We start from the raw sequence: 16,828 nt of genomic DNA on the forward strand, positions 1-16,828 counted from the left end.
CTAAAGTACGCTGGTTTTACTTTGATTACAGCACTTATAGCTGAATGCTTTTACAACTGTATGCCATCTGTCTACTTATCTGTGAATTGATAAATGGAGGAGACCATATCTTAGTCTTTGTATTTTCCACTCCAATCTGGTAGAACATTACATCAGGTAGGTGCTCAATAAATATTTGATAAATTCAATATTACTGCACATCAAAAAAGTCAAATAAATTAATACAATGAAGCAGTCACAAGAAACAGAAAAATCCATGCCCCTAAACTACAGTCCCTACTTATCCAACCAAAAATACAGACATTTTTCCCTTTGCAAAATAAATGGGTGCTACTAAGCTGGCTATACAGTGGATTCTGCAGAGCAACTAACTCCTCCTCTCCTATTCAGTCCTTCCAATGCGGCATGCTCCCTTTGCCAGCAGGCCTTTGCCCTTCCTTCTCAGAGGACAGGATTCATGCCTTTTTCTCCTTTATACAGCCAGGGTTTAGAACAGTAGCACATTAAGTCTTCAATAACTGTAAACTTATTGAACTAGGGATAATGTCAGACATTTGACCTATAAGTTTTCAGTTTGCTGAGTAATAAAACAGTTTACTTTTATATGCAATTCATTTTTTCCAATCCCAGTGTCTTTTCTCTACTGTTGGTTACCCTGTCAGCCCAGAAATACAAGAATTTCTTAGATGCCTTTAAATATCTTGGACTAAGAACTTCTAGCTCAATTTTCTGCCCTTTTCTTTTTCACAAGGTCAATATATACCTATGCTGTGGTATCATACTACATTAAAAGAGACAATCTCTTGATATATTTAATAGTCAATGCTAAATTTACTCTTTTTTGTTTATTAATTTCCTTAGATCTTATGTGAGTTTGTTTAGCATATGCATCTGGGCTAAAATCCCATGACGATGACTAACGGTATTTTTTACATTATATAAAAAAGAATTCTATAGAAACAAACACACAAAAAAAACCTGTTGAAAAAGGAATTCCCATTTATGTTCCAATGGAAAGACCCATCCAAAAGACTCACCTGGTTATGCTAAGTCAACTTATAAATCCATTATGAAAACCACTTCTAATGTCCTGATCTTGGTCTAATCTTCTAAATCCTCAGGCTGATGATAAACTCAGCTACAGTTAAGTAGTTAATACAGCTGTTGTACACTCAAAATAACGTTTAATCTTTAACTTTTAATTTTGTCACAGCAGTTTTATGTATTATACCATTCTTACCCCTTCGTAATTGCCCTTTAACTGCCAGCTTAAATACTCCAATCACCTAAATAAAAGCATTTCATCCACAAATCCACCAAAACCAGAAAAGGATACTAAGAAATTTTAAAAGGCATATACATCCTGATACCTTTATTTTTGCCATTCTGGATATCAATCATTTCTTAATACTTTTAAATTAGCTGGAAATGAAGCATCAGCCCTGATTTGGCTGTAAGTTTCACATATTTAAAATGTTTCTTTTTTTTTTAAGTCTACAAAATAAATTTAGATCAGGAATTTTTACCAATGTTTCAGACATGCACAAGAAGTTGTGTTTGAAGCCCTACCAACATACTCAAATATATATATTATTTTTAAATATATATTTGAGGATACATATATAGTGCATGTATATATGTATATGCACAAATACATATACACACACACACATATATGTTTTTTAATTGGAAAAGCACTCGTATCTACTCACAACCAGTGTCTTTGAGGCGGTTGATGGCATTGGAAAGAAGACGAACACAACCGAGAAATCCAGCACCTTGTTTCTTATGGATCTTCTTGTGATTCCATACACTGATCGTAACTGAATCAGACTTTCCAATATACCTAAAAAACAAAACGGCTGCATGAGTAACTTGGTAGTTACAGGCAGTTGGCGTAAAATTTTTCTTTTGTTCTTTTTATATTCTAAAGTTACTAATATGCTTCAGAATCTGGCTAGATTATGCAAAATATGTCTTGAGTTAATCCACAGGATTGAATTTAAATTTTTAAAAATCTTGAAAATTTTAGTATATTTTTATCACATCTGCCACTCTCAAGCTGGGCTATAATTCTAGTCAGTAAAAAGGCTATTTTAGTAGCTAATGTCTAATAACACTAAGGGAGTTTATTAAATAACTTCTTTGCAAGAAAAAGAATCTTAAAAACTTTTATCACAGTCACATTTTAAATACATGTCGATGACATGACCTACTTTTCAAGGGATAGTGTCAAGGCTGACAGACCAAAAATCTGACCTACCTGTTATATTTTAAAATGCTGTAGAACAAAAGCTGTTTGTAACGCTTTTCCCCTGCTTCTTTCCTGTATGCAGGCCTTGAGCGAGCAGGACTCTTGCAGATTTCACTTCACTGCCTGCAGACAAGCAGAGCAGGGAAAAGCGTTACTGTACTTGTCTGTGCATATGCCTGTAAGTATGTAAAAGCTCTACCACAGCCAATTGTTAACATGGCATCAACCCATGCAAAAAGATAATAAAATAACATGTCAGTAGAATCCTAGCTCTATTTCAATGACAATAAGAGGTCAAATTTTTGGTCCAGCAACCTTGATCTTAAAGTATCATTCAATAAATTACAATATCAGAAAAATTCACCTAGTATACAGAAAAGCCTAAACCATTTAAGTAAGGACTAAAGCTTTTAAATAAGTGACATGGAAGGTACACTTGAGCCCCGGGATCCAGCTGTGCCTAAAAAATGCCCACCCCAGGCTTTTAATTATGCAAATCAGTACATTCCCTTTTAAAAAATTAAGCCAATTTGAATTTGGTCTCTGTTGCTTGCAAATGAAAAAATCTGAATTAAAATATTGTTCAGTATGCATGTACCAATTTTCGAATACACCTACCAGTTCTATCTTGGCATGTATCTACTGGCATGTAATTCCAGAGCCAGAATCAAGTATTAAGTAGCTGAATTACCCAAGCTGAACATTTTTTAAAAAGTTACATTAGGCCGGGCGCGGTGGCTCACGCCTGTAATTCTAGCACTTTAGGAGGCCGAGGCAGGCAGATCACCAGAGGACAGGAGTTCGAGACCAGCCTGACCAACATGGAGAAACCCTGTCTCTACTAAAAATACAAAAAAACTTAGCCAGGCACGGTGGCATGCACCTGCAATCCCAGCTACTTGGGAGGCTGAGGCAGGAGAATCACTTGAACCCGGGAGGCGGAGGTTGTGGTGAGCCTAGATTGCGTCACTGCACTCCAGCCTGGGCAACAAGAGCAAAACTCCGTCTCAAAAAAAGAAAAAAAAAAGTTACGTTAAACCAGTTGTCCAACTAGTAAGCCTGGTTTACAGGTATGCTGAAATACATATATTGATTACCTCAGTCCTCAGGGCAACGCACCACTGGCTTAAGCAACTTCATCTGTGTAGTCCAATGTGCCATATTTTTTATGTGTACCATGATATGAAAAGGTTGGGAAGCTCTACATTAAATCATAATAAGAAATTGCTAATTATAGACCTTCTGGAAGATAGCCTAACTCTGAATTACTAAAAATTATGAAATATATTGTATTACTTAAGCGTACATGTCACAAACATTCTGTCCAAATATTCCTGGGCCAGAAATGAATCCAAAATATTACCTTTTCTTATACATAGAGAAGTACATGCTCTCACTTTAATGAAACCTCATGTAATATAACATACATGGCAACAAAAACAGTAAATTCCTTTTGCAATTGAAAGTTAAATAGAGGGCTCTATTAGCTTCTATTAAAACTTTGACTTACTAACAAATACATGATTTATAAACAAGTTTCAGGATGTTTTGTTGAAAGGGAGAGAGGGACACCTCTATAGGTGAATACAATGTTACCATATAGACCAAAATATGTACTCAGGATTTTGGGCTAAAATTTAATTATTAGATTTTGTTTGTATACTTAGCCAATTAAAGGCAAGGGTTTTGTAAAATGACTTTGGAAACAATCATAAGAGATGCTTCTGACAGCCAATTAATATTAATTGTAAGATAAAACCTAATAAGTACAAGAAAGATGTTCAACATCATTAGTCATGATGCACCTCAAAACCATGACCAGATACAACTTCATACCCACTAGGGTGGCCACAATTTTTTTTAAAAGAAAATAACAGTGACAGAGGAATAAAGAAACTTCCAGTGGAAAACAACAGTCATGAAAGATCAAAATCAGGATGCCATCAGCAATACTCTAAACCTACAATTTCCAAAATGGTACCCACCAACCACGAGACCCTTGAGGACTTCAAGTGTGGCTAGTCCAAATTGAGGCAAGCTGCAAAATAAACCACTGATTTTTTTTTTTCTTAACATAAAATGAGAAAACCGCTGATTTTTTAGAGACATAGTAAATATGTATATATACATATATGTGTAAGTAGCTCAATATTTTTATACTGACATGTTGAAAGTATTTTTGATATACTGAATTAAATAAAATATATTATTATGCTTCATTTTAAGAAACAGGGTCTCGTTATGTTGTAGCTGGATTACAGGTGCAAGCCACTATGCCCAGTTTATTATGCTTAATGTCATCTGTTTCTTTTTACTTATCTTAACGTGGATGCTAGGAAATTTAAAATTATAGATGAGCTCCCATCTGTGCCTTACATTATATTTCTACTCAACAGTATGGATCTAAACCTAGAAGATAATGGAGCAATGTATTCAACATTTGGAGGTAAAGTGATATTTCACCTAGAAGCCTATATTCAAACCATATCAAAAGATAAGAAGTCAAAGTATATCTTCTGATAAGATCTCAACTTTCTTCCCATCTTTGTATTATTTCTCAAAATGACAATGGAAGATAAAGTTCACCGAAACAGGAGAGTAAACAAAAAAAAAAAAAAAAAAAAAAAAGGAAGTCACTAAACCTAGAAGAGACAAAGGAAATTGCCAACATAACAATAAAGGCAAGTCCCAGGACAACTGCGCAGTGGGTCTTAGAGAACCATCACACAAGACTAAAGAAAGAGAACACAGACTCCCAGGAGGGTTATCTCCAAGAAGAAAAAAAGCCAATGGAATACTGACAGAACTGAATATATGGAGAAAAGATCTTTAGTTCTATAGGAGAGTCTGAGGATTATGACATATAACTTCTCATTTCTATCTAGGAGATAAATAGATAACTAAACAAATGGGAAAAGTAGCTACTAACTTCAGAAAAAACAAAAGTTGTCAAGAAAGAAAATGTAATTCTTGTACCCCTGTGACCCAACTATGGATATTTACATAATCATAATAATGTAAACATGGAACAATGGTTTAACCAAAAAGGTTCATATAATTATATTGGAAGACTAAAGAAAGGAAGAGGCTTGTGTCATGAGAATGGGGATGCTGAATACCAATTTTAAAAGCTGAACCACTGGGCTGGGCATCACAGCCCACGCTTGTAATCCAAATACTTTGGGAGGCCAAGGAGGGAGAATCTTGAGCCCAGGAATTCAAGACCAGACTGGGCAATATAGCAAGACCCCATCTCTACAAAAAATTACCTTAAAAAAAAAATTAGCTGGGCATGGTGGCATGCACCTGTAGTTCCAGCTACTGAGGAGGGTGAGGTGGGAGGATCAGTTGAGTCCAGGAGTTAGAGGCTACACTGAGCTATGATTATGCCACTGCACTCTGGCCTGAGCAATAGAGTGAGACTGTTTCTAATTTTAAAAGAATTTTTAATAATAAAAAATAAAGCCGAATCATCTTCTAGGTAGGAAATTCAAAAATACCTAAAACTAGGCTGGGCGCAGTGGCTCATGTCTGTAATCCCGGCACTTTGGGAGACCGAGGCAGGCGGATCACTTGAGGTCAGGAGTTCGAGACCAGCCTGGCCAACATGGTGAAATCCCATCTCTACTAAAAATACAAAAATTAGCTGAATGTGGTGGTGGGCACCTGTAGTCCCAGCTACTCGGGAGGCTGAGACAGGAGAAATGCTTGAACTCAGGAGACAGAGATTGCAGTGAGCCGAGATGGTGCCACTGCACTCCAACCTGGGTGACAGAGCAAGACTGTCTCAAAAAAAAAAAAAAATTACCTAAAACTAAAAAAAGAAAACTGTGATGCTATAAAATAAAATACATATCTAGAAACAGATGAAAATACCAGAATAAACAGCCAAAGTTATTAAAGCAGTTGCCTTGAGGATGGGAATCAGGAATGAGAATGGAGCAGGGAACTTGCTGTTTTCCAGTAAAAGCTTTATTGTATCATTTGCCTTTTTAAAAAGGTGCATATACTCCAATGGTTTAAAATAAAATTTAAAAGAAAGAAACCATCCATATAAAGGCAAAAAGAAGCCTATTCAGTGCAACCCAAATCCTTATTTCTGGTTTTATAATTGGTCTAAAGTGGTGAATTAATACCTTTATTTAATTGAAAAAAGAGGTGGGGGATTGCTCTACTGTGAGCCAGTTTCATTTTCTTCTTCATAGAATTTTAGAGATACCTCATCTTTCAAAACCTGTCTATAAGCCAAAGCACATTCCCACTGGGCTTTTCTTTACCCCTTTTGTGATGACCAAATTATACCACAGATGAAACCCAGATCATTTCCCATGATTATTTTCAAAGACTATATCAAATAATTTAATGATATGTTCCATTTCAAACTAATTGTTGAAACCTACAGGTCATAATGCTGATTCCACTTTGGATCAAGCGTATTCTTCACAGTATCTGTAGAATGGCATTGCCCAGATCCATCAACCACCACCTTAGCAAATGGATCAGGAAGTCCTGTGAAAAAAGATTTTCTAAAATTAATAATTTGACATTTAAGATAGAAGATTAATTATACAAGCATTCCATTTGCTACAAAAGATTATTCCATTCTTTTAAAAAAGTTTAACATTTAGCTATAAATGAATAGTCCATTTTTTAAAAAAAAAGACTAAAGTTACTTCTACATTAAATACCAAAACTATATTTTTTCTCGTTTCTGTCTCAAAATAGTCCCAGTTTAAACTACCAAAATCTAGAGGTTACCTCATAATGTGGAAGTTTTTAATAGGTTGTTACCAGCCCTCTGACCCGAGGAATGGGGTCATGAATGGTTACATGAATTCTTGTAACCATTCATGGCTTTTTCTTTCCAAATGTCTCCCTCAGTAGCTCATTTAAAGAAAAAGCTTATTAAAGGTTTTTATACAGGAACACAGGCTACAGAGAAATCAAATTAGCAAATGAGTTTTGCTGAATAACTACCAGGAAAAATCAGACTGAAACAAAAGATGTAACACTCTGCCTTAAAAGAGCTTACTATCTAATTGGAAAAATAAAAATACTATACATGAAAAACAAAACCAAAAATACCTGAGAATAAACAAGTGCTTAGTGATACTGATTGTAACGCAAACACTTATATCACTATGTTAGGTACTATTCTAAATACATTTATCCTTAATCCTTACAATAACCCTACGAGGTAAACACTGTTATTATCCCTATTTTACTGATGAGGAAACCAAGGCACAAGGGGGTCAATTAACTAGCCCAAGGTCACAGAGTAGTAAATGGCAGGGCCAGAATCTAAAGTGTAGATTCTAAACCCATGTCTGGCTCTCGACTTCATGCTCTTAACCACTATGCTGTATTTTACCTCTTATTTACTACGTGGTCCAACAGTGAGTACAAGTAAGAGCTCAGAAAAACAGGAGAAAAGGTTTGAATCTGAACAGTAAAGAAAGGGCTTTGAGGGAGGAGGGAACTCATCTGGGCTTTAAGGCAGGCGTCTCCAACCTCTGCACCATGGGCCGGTACAGGTTCGTGGCCTGTTACAACCGGACCACAAAGCAGGAAGTGAGCGGTGGGAGAGTAAGCATTACAGCCTGAGCTCCGCCTTCTGTCAGATCAGCGGCAGCATTAGATGCTCATAGGAGCTGGAACCCTATGGTGAACTGCGCTTGCAAGGGATCTAGGTTGTGCGCTCCTTATGAGAATCTAAAGTCTGATGATCTGAGATGGAACAGTTTCATCCCAACACATCCCCTGCTCCCCATGTCCTTGGAAAAACTGTCTTGCATGAAACCGGTCCCTGTGCCGAAGGTTGGGGGCTGCTGCTTTAAAGGGCATACAGGAGAAGGAGGACTTTCCTAGCAAAAGGAAGAGCACCAAGGAGGGTATGACAATACAATATTTAAAAGACTTTGAAGAGTCTAACCAAAGAGCTTGTGCTAAGGTGTAAAAGTAAATACTATTGGAAATATGACTGACCCAGTAAGAGAGGCTTAAAAGTCGGGCAACAGGGCTTGGACTGATTGAGGTAGATAACAGGGAGCCATTTCAGGTTCTTGAGCATGGCTGTAACTACAGTCATATTTTTCTATCAGTGGTATTCAGGGCCCACTAGGAGAAAGAAAGACTAGAGGCAGACCATATATGAAGCTGTTGTAATTATCCAACAGTAGGATGAAAAGACCCTGAATGAGGGAAGTCATGTGGAAAGGGAAAGGAAATGACAAGAGAGCTATTCTGAAAGATCTAATACAAATTAATAAGAAACTTGTATCAAAGATGACAATACAGTTTTCAGCCCAAAGCAATAATGAAAATGATTCTTTTGACAAAAATTTAAAAGGTGGAACTAAAAATGTTAGAGAGACAAAAATGTCACTTCATGTGTTAGACATTGGGATAGAGTAGATTTCCTGTGGACAGCTGAAAATACTAGAACAAAACAGCGTTAAGTGTTGGTGACTGGAGAAATTTTGCATGTTGGTATCAATGCTAATTTTTTTAAGATACTAATTTGCCAAGTTTCAAGGACAGACAAATCACCTATCAGTTCCCCAATTCTATGATTCTGTGATCTATCGCTTCCAAATAATAAAGGAGGACCAAAATTTAGGCGTTAAGTTTCAAAGAAACTTGGTAAGTTAGGGTATTAAATCTATTTGACTATATTGTTCTTGAAGCTGAGTGCTATGCATAGTATTTCAGTAACACCTAACCATTTATAAATGTGTTCAATGGAAGAATGTTTTTACCTCCACCCTCAATAAATGAAGATTTCCTCCTGGGAAGAATTCACTCTATCTTGTTATTTTCACTCTACTATTTAAATAAATAAACATATAAATGTGTATTTATGAGCAAAAACAAAAAAATCACATTTCTAAACTTTCCCTTTGGGTGTTATTAAACTAGTTGAAGAATTAAGTCTCTCTGGTTTCTTGCTTTTTTAAAAAAATAAAATGAAAAAGAATTAAGGACTGGCCAGACACAGTAGCTCACACCTGTAATTTCAGCACTTTGGGAGGCTGAGGCGAAAGGATCACTTGAGCCCAGGAGTTTGAAACCAGCCTGGGCAACATAGTAAGACCACCCCCCATCCCCCACAAAATAATTTAAAAGTTAGCCAAGCATGGTGGCATACGTCTGTAGTCTCAGCTACTCAGGAGGCTAAAATGGGAGGATTGCTTGAGCCTGGGAGGCCGAGGCTGCAGTGAGCCATGATCATGCCACTGCACTCCAACCTGGTTGACAGAGCAAGACCCTATCTCAGTGGAAAAAAAGATTAAGGATTAAGAAAAACAACAGCTGACAAAGGACTAATATCCAGAATCTATAAAGTACTCAAACAAATCAGCAAGAAAAAATCAAACAATCCCATCAAAAAGTGGGTTAAGGACATCAATAGACAATTCTCAAAAAAAGATATATCAACAAGATAGGCCAATAAGCATAATGAAAAATGCTCAGCATCACTAAGTATCAGGGAAATGCAAATCAGAACTATAATGCGATGCCACCTCACTCCTGCAAGAATGGCCATAATCAAAAAATTTAAAAATAACAGATGTTGGCATGGATGCAGTGAAAAGGGAACACTTTTACACGGCTGGTAGTAATGTAAACTAGTACAACCACTACGGAAAACAGTGTGGAGATTCCTTAAAGAACTAAAAGTAGATCTACTGTTTGATCTAGCAATCCCACTACTAGGTATTAACCCAGAGGGAAAGAAGTCATTATACGAAAAAGATACTTGCACACGCAGGTTTGTAGCAGCACAACTCACAATTGCAAAAATACTGAAGCAGCCCAAACACCTATCAATCAACGAGTGGGTAAAGAAATGTGGTGTGTGTGTGTGTGTATATGTGTGTGTGTATATATATGTTTATATTATATAATTATATATGTATATATTTATATATAATTATATGTGTGTGTATATATATATATACACACCTACATATACACACACACACACCACATATACATACATACACCATGGAATACTACTCAGCCATTAAAAAGAAATAATCACAGCAACCTGGATAAAATTGGAGACTATTATTCTAAGTGAAGTAACTCAAGAATGGAAAACCTAACATCGTATGTTCTCAGTCACATGTGGGAGCTAAGCTATGAGGATGCAAAGGCGTAAGAATGATATACTGGACTATGGGGACTGGGGGAAAGGGTGGGGGTAACAGGGGATAAAAGACTATACACTGGGTACAGTGTACACTGCTTGGGTGATGGGTCCACCAGAATCTCAGAAATCACCACTAAAGTACTTATTCATGTAATCAAACACCATCTGTTCCCCCAAAACTTATTGAAATAAAAAAATAAAATAATAAAAGAAAAACAATTTTTTCCATACAAAATGTGGCTTCCAGATCCTTAATTAAGTAGGAAAGTCACAGCCTTTTATGTTCCCTTTCTGTTAAATAACACAGTAAACAAAAACACCAGTTCAATACCTTAATAAAAAAATACATAGGTTTCAACTTAACCTGATTATATTATTCTCCAAAAATTTAACTTGAGAGCCAAGTTACTCCCATGTGGTCAAAAACTATCAGGTTTTCTGAAGTTAGTGAGACATCTAGTGGTAAACACAAAGTGGCTAGAGAACTTTCTGCATTTTAAAAAATTTCTCAGCCAGGCACAGTGGCTCACGCCTGTAATCCCAGCACTTTGGGAGGCCGAAGTGGGTGGATCACGAGGTCACGAGTTCAAGACCATCCTGGCTAACACGGTGCAACCACATCTCTACTAAAAATACAAAAAATTAGCCGGGTGTGGTGGCACATGCCTGTAGTCCCAGCTACTCAGGAGGCAGAAGCAGAATTGCTTGAACCTGGGAGGCGGAGGTTGCAGTGAGTCGAGATCGCGCCACTGCACTCCAGCCCGGGTGTCAGAGACAGACTTTGTCTCAAGGGAAAAAAAAAATTTTTTTTTGTCTCAATTCTCCCCCATCATTTCTGAGACATGTAAAATAGCTAAAGCTCAAAAACCTCCTTACTACACAAATGCACTTGAAAAGCTGCAAATAATAATAAAATAACATTTTCAACTCAAAAGTGTGCTACCTTCCAAAGAAAACAGCTTCATTTTCAATTGGGCCAAGAAAAAAAAAAAACATACACAACATTTAGCCAACCCATCTTGGTTTTAAATGACTTCAATTTGGCCCCCTATAAAACACCTTATTACCTTACACAGAAATCTTTTTTAAAATGTTGCAGAAGAACAAATCTAAATGAAAACATTCCTTTTCATATAAAAAATACACATAAAACAGATAATGAAGGCAGGGCACAGTGGCTCATGCCTGTAATCCTAGCACTTTGAGAGGCCGAGGCAGGCGGATCACATGAGGTCAGGAGTTCGAGACCAGCCTGGCCAACATGGTGAAACCCCGTCTCTACTAAAAATACAAAAATTAGCTGGGTGTGGTGGCACATGCCTGTAATCCCAGCTACTCGGGAGGCTGAGGCAGGAGAATTGCTTGAACACGGGAGGCAGAGGTTGCAGTGAGCCGAGATCACGCCACTGCACTCTAGCCGGGGGACAGAGCAAGACTCCGTCGGGGGAAAAAAAAAAAAAAAAACATAATGAATAAATGGGTAAATATGTGATAAAGTTAATGGTAGAATCTAGATGGTGGGTCTTTACTATAAAATTATTTTATCTGTTGCTTTATGTTTGAAATTTTTCCTGCTAAAATTCTGGGGGAAAGGGGAAGTGACTTATTTTTAAAAGCCAATAAGCTTGAAAACAGTTCAAAAACATGAGTTAAAAAAACTTTTCTCAACAAGGATAGCGCCCAATAAACAGTATTACCTCACATACAAATTACTCTTCAAAAGACAACACATGGCAGTGTATTTTTTCCTGCGATGAAAAATATATATCTATTTCATCACCCTATAGTCGTACTTTGTATTAAAATTTGCTTTTCTCATTCAATACAATTTTAACTGAATCGCAAGCAAAAACTTAACTATATTTTACTATTAATAACTGCACTGATCAATAAACACACATTCATTTATATTTAATTGAAGAATTTAGGAATTACTGTCTCTGAAATTAATGTGGGCAACCCTTAACAGGTCAAAAATCTGTATAAGTATACATGTAAATCTACCACAGAATGGACCTGCGACCTTGGCCAGTGTGAACCTGGGAGGTAACTTCCATTCCTGGCTAACTCCCCTCTGAAGCCCTAAGGATTACCATTCCTGTTTCTCTTTCCAGGCCATCAAGAGTCTCCCATTCTAAGTTTTAAAGATAATCACACTGTTTCCCCTAATCTTATCCCTAAAGCAAGTTCACACTCTTAGAATTTTTATCAATTTTTACTGCCTACACCCATGAAAAAGGGAAAAGATTTCCTTCTTTCTTTCACTTACAATTTAAGGACAAAGATCATATAAGGGTTAACAATCAGCTCTCAAAGGTTTATAAAACATTAATATATGATTCCTCTAGATATCCTAGGAAAAATGAGGTAAGAATATCTGGATATTTTATTAGAGAAGCTGTGTCTTGGGACTCGAGAGGAAGGAAATTTGAAAAGGAAAGCTGGGAGACAAAACTGAAGATTTTATCTTCAAAACCAGAGCAGATGTCTTGGAGAGTGCAGAAGCAGCTGTAAGAGTGCTCCTCTCAGCCGGGCGCGATGGTTCATGTCTATAATCCCAGCACTGTGGGAGGCCAAGGCAGGAGGATCACGAGGTCAGGCATTCGAGACCAGCCTGACCAACATGGTGAAACTCCGTCTCTACTAAAAATACAAAAATTAGGCAGGCGTGTTGGCGTGCACCTGTAATCCCAGCTACTCAGGAGGCTGAGGCAGGAGAATCGCTTGAACCCGAGAGGTGGAGTTTGCAGTGAGCCGAGATCACACCACTGCACTCCAGCCTGGGCAACAGAGTGAGACTCCGTCTAAAAAAAAAAAAAGGAAAAGTGCTCCCCTTACTTCCCTCCCTTTTCTCCTTGTCCAACCCTATTTGCCACTTTGCAAGCCCACTAGTATAAATCCTACCTTAGATCAACCTTATCAAAGGTTAAAAAAAAAAAAGTACACCTCAGTTAGTAGCAACAGGGATGAGGTAGGAAGTGAGCAGCAGCCTGAGACAGATAACAGTGATTGGAGGCAACAGGGAGAGATGGGAAGTTCTGTGGCCATTGGGACCTTCCACTGTGACAAGCTTCTGGCGAGAAGGCACATGGTACATAAATTTAAACTGCTTATAATTTGCGTCCTATGTTCCAAATTATCCTATTTGCTTTCTCATATAAGCAGAAAGATAACCATAAACATTTATAACTATATAGTTTTATAAGATGTTATTTTATAAACTTTAATTCAGGTTCTGCTCTACAAAAACTCAAAATAATAAAATTTCAAGTGGAATGAATTAAGTATAATTTTAAATTATATTGGCCGGGCACAGTGGCTCACACCTGTAATCCCAGCACTTTGGGAGGCTGAGGTAGGAGGATCACTTGAGACCAGGAGTTTGAGACCAGCCTGGGCAACATAGCAAGATCCTGCCTCTACAAAGAATAGTAAATAAATAAATAAATAAATTAGCTGGACGTGGTGAAGTGTGTCTGCAGTCCACCCACTCAGGAGGGTGAGATAGGAGGATCCCTTGAGCCCAGGAGTTTGAGGCTGCAGTGAGCTATGACTGTGCCACTCTACTATAGCCTGGGTGACAGGGCAAGATCCTGTCTCTAAAAAGAATATATATATATATATATATATATATATATATCTTATTTCTTTTAATCAAGCCCCTGAAAATCATCTACTATCACATGAAATCAAACAGCACACATAGCCCGTGACTTGAATTTAAAAATTTAATGAATCATCTCTATTCTAATTTCAAATGTTTTACATAAAAAATTTTGTTGGCTGAAGTTTTTTTTTTTCACTAAAAATTATATCATTTTTAACCAATAACTTAAAGCTACAACAGAATAAAGATTGTAATATACATGCTGGGTACTTCCCAATCCCCTCTCATAAAACTTAGTACTAAATAAAGCCAGAAAAAAAAATTACAACAGATTGGTAAATATAAGGCATATATGGGAACCAAACATCTGCTTTGGAATCTGAGAGGTAAGAGCATCTAGGATCAAATGTGGCAGAGATTTCTTTCCCACACTCTGGAAATTCCAAGCAGGCTCAATGACTTTTCTACCTTCCAATGAATCTTGAATGAGTAAAGTTTCCCATGAAATTTTCAAAAGGAAGAAAGTGTTCACAAAATAATCTCTTAAACCTTTTCTAGAACTCTAGTAGTATGCACACCTTCAATATACATTACACACATCTGCATTTACACACCTGCATACACACTCATTCTCATAAATACGTGGGAGAGGTGAATAAAAGGAAAGGGCTAAGCCTAAAAAGCACAAAACCTTCTAAAAAAAAAATGTGATGCCAAATGGCTCTGAACCGAAGCATTCATAATAAAATAACACTGACAATACTTCTGAATAGAGAAACCCCTAAACCAGAGAATTCTGAAAACGCTGTTCCCAAAGATCTACATACAATACACAAGATTTAAAGTTAATTTACTTACGGAAAAAATCCTTTTTCACCAGGTTTTTTGCACAGAGTACTGTAAAAAAAAAAAACAAAAAATACATGGGAAAAATTAAAATGTTAAGAGTGTACTGTTACATTTTAAAACACGGAAAACAGCAGTGAATAGTTAAACCCTAACTATAGCAAGGTATGAAACATGACCACAAACTTTCGAACTAGCAAATAAAAGACAGTTGAACCAGTGGTTGCAACTTTCAATGATCACCAGTAATAGCTGAGGGCAAGAAAGTTTATAAATCTGATATTCTAATAATAAGGTAGAAATTCAATTCCTATCTTCCATCAAGATCTACTCTCTGAGAAACTCAGTGGCAATAGGAAAAATAGTTCAAAGGAGATATGTAAAGTCAGGTTGTTATATCTATTTTAAGGATGAAATAATTTTATACTGAAGAGGATCACAAATAAAGATAAAGCTTTCCTGATATAGATGAGTTTTTTTTCTTTTTTTTTTTTTTTAAATAACATTCTGTTCTCCATCTAAATGCCACAGAAACTTCATGGGAGAAATCAAATTACCTTCTCCTAAATCATCAGTTAAATGACAAGATATGTCTACTATATCTTTTAAGAATTTAAAGTTAATATATTAAAACTAGATATCCCAAATCCACATTTTCCAAGTTAATATGCATTAAATTACTTACACGGATGGATGCTCAACCTTGTGAACACACTAAAAAATATTGAATTGCCCACTTTAAAGAGGATAAATTTTGGCCGGGCGCAGTGGCTCACACCCGTAATCCCAGCACTTTGGGAGGCCGAGGCGGGCGGATCACAATGTCAGGAGTTCGAGACCAGCCTGGCCAATATGGTGACACCCCGTCTCTACTAAAAATACAAAAATTAGCTGGGCGTGGTGGCGTGCGCCTGTAGTCCCAGCTACTCAGTAGACTGAGGCAGAAGAATCGCTTGAACCCGGGAGAGGGAGGTTGCAGTGAGCCAAGATTGCGCCACTGCACTCCAGCCTGGGCTACAGAGCAAGACTGTCTCAAAAAAAAAAAAAAAGGATTTTATAGTATATGAGTTACATATCAATTTTAAAATTACTGCTTACAGGCTGGGCACAGTGGCTCATGTCTGTAATCCCAGTACTTTGGGAGGCCAAGGTGGCTGGATCGCTTGAGGTCAGGAGTTTGAGACCAGCCTGGCTAACATGATGAAACTGTGTCTCTAGTAAAAATACAAAAATTAGCTGGGTGTAGTGGCGCACACCTGTAATCCCAGCTACTCAGGAGGCTGAGGTGCGAGAATCACTTGAACCTGGGAGGTGGAGGCTGCAATGAGCCAAGATTGCACCACTGTACTAGTGAGCCAAGATTGCAACCACTGAACTCCAGCCTGGGCGACAGAGCAAGACTCTGTCATAAATAAATAAATAAATAAATAAATAAATAAATAAATAAATAAATAAATCTGCTTATAGAGTCATAAACTTAAAACTTCTTTAACTCAAACTTGATACAAGAGAAAGAAAAACATCAATTTTCATATATGTAAATTTTAGTTCATAAAATACCTATGAATGTAATGTTTGGTATTTCTATCCACTTCTACTAACAGTTTAAATGAATTACAGTTATTGGAAGTTTAGTGTATAAAAGCTCATTTGACATAAACTTGGGAATGAATCTAAATAAATATAACTAATCACTCTAAGGGTTCACATAAAAAAACCTTTTGAAAACAGATGTCATCACTAAATAAATAAAATTATTAAGTAAGCACAAGATACTGGTATACTAGGCAGAGTCCCTTAGGCCATGTCTTAGAGTTTTGTTTTTAAAAACATAAAAACTCAATCAATCATGAAAACTAGGGCCATAACTAAGAATAAGAAATCACAAACTAGATTTAGAGAACTCCTCCCCAAACTTTTGTCATAATATAAATTGAACAGAATACTCAGGATCAATACACATGTA

General features: G+C 36.8%; 1 protein-coding gene across 4 annotated transcripts in view, besides 1 other annotated feature; it reads right to left on the reverse strand.

Annotated features, from left to right (window-relative positions):
• SMURF2 (SMAD specific E3 ubiquitin protein ligase 2) overlaps positions 1–16,828 on the reverse strand; it is a 120,026-nt gene that overhangs the window by 49,446 nt on the left and 53,752 nt on the right. For 3 of the 4 annotated variants that reach the window (XR_007065425.1, NM_022739.4, XM_047436546.1), the window contains exons 2-4: positions 14,875–14,913; positions 6,655–6,763; positions 1,713–1,846 (exon numbers count right to left, since the gene is read on the reverse strand). Coding sequence is in view for 3 of the 4 variants with exons in the window: in NM_022739.4 (NP_073576.1) it covers positions 1,713–1,846; positions 6,655–6,763; positions 14,875–14,913 (282 nt within the window). In the remaining variant the exon portion in view is untranslated. The remainder of the gene's footprint in view (positions 1–1,712; positions 1,847–6,654; positions 6,764–14,874; positions 14,914–16,828) is intronic. The other variant, XM_005257585.4, reaches the window with a different exon arrangement.
• Positions 10,833–10,882: a silencer, noted in NCBI's record as "silent region_8844". NCBI's record gives its function as "represses an Ori minimal core promoter by ATAC-STARR-seq in GM12878 lymphoblastoid cells {active_cell/tissue: GM12878}" and the evidence as "EXISTENCE:reporter gene assay evidence [ECO:0000049][PMID:35858748]".

Source organism: Homo sapiens, chromosome 17 (assembly GCF_000001405.40).
Source record: "Homo sapiens chromosome 17, GRCh38.p14 Primary Assembly".
Lineage (NCBI taxonomy): Eukaryota > Metazoa > Chordata > Mammalia > Primates > Hominidae > Homo > Homo sapiens.